General features: G+C 42.1%; 1 annotated feature.

Annotated features, from left to right (window-relative positions):
• Positions 494-994: an enhancer, noted in NCBI's record as "H3K27ac-H3K4me1 hESC enhancer chr2:17036591-17037091 (GRCh37/hg19 assembly coordinates)". NCBI's record gives its function as "activates a minimal SCP1, AML or CMV promoter by ChIP-STARR-seq in naive H9 embryonic stem cells {active_cell/tissue: H9 hESC(naive)}" and the evidence as "EXISTENCE:reporter gene assay evidence [ECO:0000049][PMID:30033119]".

Below are 7,210 nucleotides of genomic sequence, written 5' to 3'. Positions count from 1 at the left end.
AATGTAATTATATTCACTTCCTCATTTTCAAAGAAAAACTTCAACATATTGATAAAAGTAGATACCTCAAAAATACAGATTTATGTATATTATTTATGATTATTGTGTTACCTACAACATAGCCTAAGATTATATTATGGACTTTTGAAATTTTCTACAGGAAAAGCAAAAGTGCACAGACATACACACACACTCATACACATGTGCATAGCAATAACAACATCAAAAGAAGCAACAAAATGAAAAAAGAAAAGGAAAATGGAATGCATATAGCAGATCTCTTCTCTCCCTCTCTATCTCTCTTTATATAAACATATGGAATATATTTATTTATACATTTTTTTTCTGGAAAGCCTAGAACAACATACTTCACAAAATTGAAATATGTCAGTAGTGCTTCAGAGCCATGGAACTTGTTGCCTAAATGATTCTTGGAACTCTCAACTGCACTTCCCACCAACACAACTGACCTCTCCATTCTCTGAAGTCCTTGTGGTTCTGTTGTCTGTGATATCACTCTTTGAATACAATCCTGGAGACAAAGAGAAGCTAAGCATTGGAAGGGATGTTAATGTCATGGCAAAGTCACCTTGCCCCTCTGATTCAATTTCTTCTATTATAAGACGCCTAACTTGACTCCTTCATTGTCTCTAGGGTAGTGTCTATTTCCTACCTAGCTATGTACTTGTGAAAAACTTGAACTCTAGCCTTGGACACCTTTTTCTCATTAAGTGCCAAGCACTACCTCTTTCTTACTCATAGTAAGGACTCCTCCCTCCGGCCTTTCTCCTGACGCCAAAGTCGCCGCGGCTGCCTCCACCACCTCCGCTTTGGCAGTGGCTGCGGTGGTGGCCCTGCATTGTGGCCCCCGGGCTCCCCGCCGGCGACATGGCAGAGCTGGGCAGCTTGCAGCAAGGAGACAATTCTCCCAGGGACCCAGCGGCCTGGCCCGGAGGGGTGGGGAGGGCTGGGCTGCCGTGCCCTTCCAGGGAGGGACCCCCTTGGTACACTGACCTCTGGGACCCAGCGGTGCCCGCGCTGTGCTCTTGGATCTGGAGCCCGGCATCATGGACTCTGTGCCCTTCGGGCGAATCTTCAGGCCGGACAACTTCATCTTCGGTCAGAGTGGTGCAGCGAACAACCGGGCCAAGGCACACTAGTGGCCCACTACTATTACAGAAGGCTCAGAGCTGGTGGAGTCAGTGATGGATGTTGCGAGGAAGGAGGCTAAGAGCTGTGAGTGCCTTCAGGGTTTCCAGCTGACCCACTCCCTGGGTGGGGGGACTGGATCTGGGATGGATACCCTTCTCATCAGCAAGATCTGGGAGGAGTACCCAGACAAATCATGAACACATTCAGCATTCTTCCCTAGCCCAAGGTGTCGAACACAGTGGTGGTGGTCCCTGATGAATGAGGTCCAACTGCTTGTTCTTGCCGTGCAATAACAAGATGTAGACAGACTGGAAAAGAAGGGAGTTTATTTGTGCAACCAGTTACAGGGAGAAGGTCAAAGTAACTCACCAGAACAACTCAAAGTTACAAGTTTTTCTCCAGTGCTTATGTACATTTTAAGCTCCATGCCTATGTGTAGGAGTGTACCTACAAACAGAAGTGTTTCATTCAATCTACATCTAATCTTTAGGCTCTAAAAAGGTTTCTCTAGAGCCTTGGAAACTTTATTAATCTTAAGTGGGCCCTGGTATGAGGTGTATATGTAAGAATGCTTTTATTATTTTATCAGACTTTAGGAGCTAAGAAAATTCAGGTGGGATCTTAATGGGTTTGTTTTTGCATTGCAATCTTTGTACTCAGGGGCCAGTTTCTCCAGTTCTTTAATGCTGAACGTGTGCATTCGTCAGAATTATAGTAAAAGATGAGTGGAAACTGGCTGCTACTGAAAACCCGGCCTGCCACCCTCTCAGTCCACCACCTCATAAAAAAAACATAGACAAAACACAGACATTTTGCATTGATAATGAAGCTCTCTATGACATCTGCTTGAGAACTCTAAAGCTGCCCACATCCACCTATGGTGACCTGAACCACCTGGTTTCTCCCACCAGGAGTGGGGTCACTCCCTGCCTGTGCTTCCCCAGCCAGCTAAATGCTGACCTACAGAAACTGGCTGAGAACATGGTCTCATTTCCCTGCCTGTACTTCTTCATGCCTGGCTTTACCCTGCTGACCAGCCAGGGTAGCCACCATTACTGGGCCTGATGGTGGCTGAGCTCACCGAGCAGATGTTTCATTGCCAAGAACATGATGGCTTCTTGCAACCTCCACCATGGTTGCTACCTAATGATGGCTGCCATTTTCAGGGTCCACATGTCCATGAAAGAGATGGACAAGCAAATGTTTAACATCCAAAAAGAGCACAGCAGCTATGTTGCTGATTGGCTCCCCCACAATGTGAAATTGGTTGTCTGTGACATCCCACCCCACCCCGGGGCTAACTAAAAATGTCTGCCACCTTCATGGTCAGCAACACAGCCATCCAGGAAAAAAAAATCATTCAGCCCTGATTTAATTAATAAAGGATTGAATATTAGAAAGTTTAGAGATTGTCTGTATTGGGTTTTTTTTTTCTGCCATTCTGCTAATCACTTAACATGCATTGAATGATCTAATCTTCATAGCAATCCTATTGCTAGTTTATACTTGAACCAAAGCATAAAGAGACTAATAAACATGCCCAAATTAGGATTTGAACGCAGGCAGTCTAGTTCCTGATTAACTACTATGCTGCACAACAGAGGCAAATGAGTAGCATGTATTTTCCTGAATCTTCAATTGACTCGACATACATTCAAAGATTTAGGATACATGGATCACTTCCTTCAACATGCCGAGCTGCACCTGCACCAGGGAACTTCACATGCTTTCAGCAGGTGGAGAGGAAGCCCCAGGGGTGGAAAGATGCCCCGTGAAGTAGAGGAGGATTTGCAATCCCAGGCATCAGTACTTGCTCCATTAACAGCTCCTCTGAGAGCCAGGTCCACATGAGGCATAACCAAACAGGTATGATACTTGGCCATTTGCCAATTTGTTCTTCCCCTGCAGACACCTTGGGAAAGAAATGCTTCTCAATCACTAACCACAGGAAGGTTAGGGAGAAGGTCTAGGAGGAGGAGCCCTCGGGCAAGTCCCAGTTTTGAGAAAATAGCCCAGGCAATGGCTTACCCTTTACGTGTGTGTCTAACCAGTGAATTGTGGCATTTGGGCTCTCTTAAAGCTTTGGCAGTTCTAGGAGTCATCATTATGGCTGTAGAAATGTGTTCATGTCTTTGAGACTTTTTAGTTTTCTTTTCACTTAAAATAAACCTAACATCACTCATTCATCACTAAATCTCCGTCAGTGCCCTGACACGTGAACACTGATGCTTTCATACTGCTAGATCTATTGCAACATTTACTATATTATGCTATAATCTTGGCTCTCCATCTGTCTCCCCTCTAGACCATGTGCTCCTAGAGTGAGGGAATAACCTGTTAGTCATGTCTGTCTGCCCTGTGTCTGAAAGAAGAATGTCTAACACCAAGCAGATATCAATGCCCTGGTGAAATGAGCAAAAGACAAATCAGCTGTCCAGTAAAACAACAAATTTATCCAATGAAACTGAATCAAAGGGAGATGCTGAACTTTCTGACTGGAAAGCATGTCTCCCAATCCATGGCCTAAGCATCATTTCCAAAGTCTAGGCCCCTGACTGGACCTTAAACTTATGCAAGTGTAATTGTAGGTCAACAAGTATATGGATTACTCTCTGTGGCATTCAGATCAACATTTTAATTAGTATTCAAGATGCTGATGCAACATTATTTCATGTATGGCATGTAAAATGGCACAACATATATTTTATGTATTTACTAAAAACATAAATAAAAACAACTTATACAGGAATAATCACTTTGACATTTAGGGATGTTGCCTTCCTACTATCATTCTCATTCTCATATGCATGTGTACAAATAGCTAGATAGATAGAGATATATGTATACATAGACAGATGATAGATATGTAGATGGATAGATACATGATAGATGATAGACAGATAGATAGATAGGTATGACTTTGAAAAGATTTTCCTGTTTCATCCCCAGAAACTGTGCATATGTTACCTTACATGGTCAAAGAGGTATGGCAGATGGGAGTGAGAGCCTGACTTGGAAATAATCCTGGGCTGGGCATGGTGGCTTACCCTTGTAATCCTAACACTTTGGGAGGCCAAGGTGAGTGGATCACTTGAGGTCAGGAGTTCGAGACCAGCCTGGCTAACATGGTGAAACCCTGTCTCTACTGAAAATATAAGAATTAGCTGGGCTTGGTGACACATGCTTGTAATCCCAGCTACTCAGGAGGCCGAGGCATGAGAATCTCTTGAACCTAGGAGGTGGAGATTGCAGTGAGCCAAGATGACACAACTGCACTCCAGCCTGCGGGACAGGGCGAGACTCAGTCAAAAAGGAATAAAGGGAGGGGAGGAGGGAGGAAGGGAGGAAGGAAGGAAGGAAAAGAAAATCCTGGATTGCATTGGGTAGGCCCCATCTAATCACAAAGGTCCTTATAAGAGGCAGGCAGAAGGGTCAAAATCAGAGAAGGGGATGCGAAGACAGAAGCAGAGTTTAGACTGATGCTAACGGGGTCATGAATTAAGGAATGAGGGAAGCCACTAGAAGCTGGGAAAGGCAAGGGACAGATTCTCCTCTAGAGGCTCTGACAGGCAGGCAGTCTTCCCAATGTATTTGGACTTCTGACTTCTAGAACTGTCATGTAATAAATTTATGTTATCTTGAGCCAGTAGTCTCTGATAATTTTTAAAGCAGCAATACAAATTTAATATAGATAGATGCATTTGATTCCCAGACCTGCCACAACAAATTACCATTAACTGGGTGGCTTAAAACAACAACATGTATTCTCTCACCATTCTAGAGGCCAGAAGTTCAAAATGAAATGTTGGCAGAATCCTTCCTTGTCTCTCACTAGCTTCTGATGGTTGCCAGAAATCTTTGGCACTCCTTAGCTTATAGACACATCACTTCTGTCTCTGTCTCTGTCATCATGTGGCATTCTCCCTGTGGTTATGTATCTTTACATGGCCTTCTTAAAGGGATACCAGCCATTGTATTTAGGGCCCACCCTAATCCAGTATGACCTGATCTTAACTAATGATATCTACAAAGACCCTATTTCCAAATAAAATCACATTCTGGAGTTCCAAGTAAACATGGATTGGGGGGCAGGGGGGTTGTGGGGGAAGGGGAGCACTATACAACCCAGTAGAGAGAAAAAGAGAGGCAGAGATTCTTTGATAATACCATTTTTATTGTTGCTTGATATTTTGTTGTATGTTTATAGCAGAATTTACTATGTTGATTCATTTCACCAGTAACACATTGTTATACTTACATAAGCATCAGTTATTTCACTAGAAGAATTGTCCTTATTTCTGAATGCCACATTCTGCATAAGATATTGACAAACTGGAACTTACTTCAGGAAGGACAAAGCAGGATAGAGAGAATGGACTCCAGATTATTTCCTATGAAGAACACTGAAGGAAGAGAATGAGAAATCAAAAAAGAGACGCCGGAGGACATTCATGGAGGATATGTTAAAACACTTACACGTACCACTACATTGAAGATAAATTAATTTTATTCTGTTTTTCCTTAAGGCATTGAACTAAGGCAAATGGATCAGAAACCATCCCAAAGGGAAAAGTGCTAAAATACTGGTTTCACTTCTCCAGGGTCTCCTTTCTTTCTTAGATCTTGGGCCTGAAATTTTTCACAATCTTAGTAGCATTCCAAAGCCTTCAAACAAGCGTTCCTTAAAAACATTTTTATCAGAAACTATGAATGGTATGAAATTTTATAAACTGTTAAGAACTGCTGAGGGTCTCAAATATTTCCCTACTTACAAATCAAGATGTTATCCTATTACAGTTTTACAGATACTGTGAAAGATATGAGACTCTTGGGTCTAATACAATGGATGGCGTGATACTCACAGCAACGACAGTATAGCCAGAGTGTCATGATTTTCTTGACCAGTTCTTAAGTCTCAATTACCACAGGGTGATATGAAAAGCGTCAGGTGATTCCTGCATATGTGGCGGTTGCATCACAGGAAAGAAACTCTGAGCTTTGGAAGCTCAAATTTTTCATAGTGGTCTCTAAACAAACCTGCCTGACCTTTGTCCTGGAAGGAGACATTGTTAATATAGGAAGAGCCTTGAAAAGGTGGTTCAAAACAAAGGTGTTAGTATCATTGCTTACAAGATAAGTAGAAATGCAAGAGACCCATAGAGAATTGCCTGTCAACAAGATCTACTCTTCCTTCATTTCTGTACCATCTTGATGTCTACTTAATTTCCCCCATGAGTTCATCACTACTTCAGCTACTTTGATTAATCTAACTGATGAGTGAGTTCAACTCCATTCAATTTGTCTCATACAGTATTTAATTAAGATTACTATGAATAGGACTCCAATTAGCAAGATGAGGTCAATCTGGAGTATTAACCTCAACCGTGTCTCCTCCCTCCCTATCCCCACGATCCAGAACTCAACCACCTAAACAAATTCCATAAAACATCAGCATCTATCTTTAAAAATCAGCTTGCTTTCTCCTTAAGTTGTTGTATTGACATTTCTACTTGGCCTTAGCTAGTAATCTATGATTAGTGATGACACAGATTCTGCTTTGGTCTGAAAGGTGGAAGCCTAAGGCAATCCCATCATCCATAACAACCTTGACTAATGAATTGGCATTGCCCTGAATGCCTTTCCATTTCATATTTGGTGTCGTTGATCACTTTACCTAAAGTTAAGAAAAAACTTCATACCGACTTTTTAAATGGATGATGCTCATTATAGAAAAACCTACTTATTTTTTTTTGTAGGATCTACTAAAACAATGAGCCAGTTATTCTTCCAGAAAGCTTCTTCAAGTAGCCAAAGGAACCCTCATTTTGCAGAGATCTCTGAAGTCATCTGAGGTTTAAATGATTTACTGGTAGAAATCATTTTGTTAAACAATTTCAGGTCACTTATGACCACCCCTATAAGGGGAAATTACTGTGTCTTTAGGATGGAGGCAAGATATTTTCTGGCTTTTATGCAAGTACAATCTCAAGGGTAGACACGGTGCCCATAGAAAATAAAATGTTACTGTTTCTCCCTACAGGTCCATGTGGGTGTTGGG

The sequence above is a fragment of the Homo sapiens genome, chromosome 2, assembly GCF_000001405.40.
Source record: "Homo sapiens chromosome 2, GRCh38.p14 Primary Assembly".
Taxonomy (NCBI): Eukaryota; Metazoa; Chordata; class Mammalia; order Primates; family Hominidae; genus Homo; species Homo sapiens.
The sequence above is the reverse complement of the archived record's forward strand: the minus strand, read 5'-3'. Positions and strand labels throughout refer to the sequence as shown.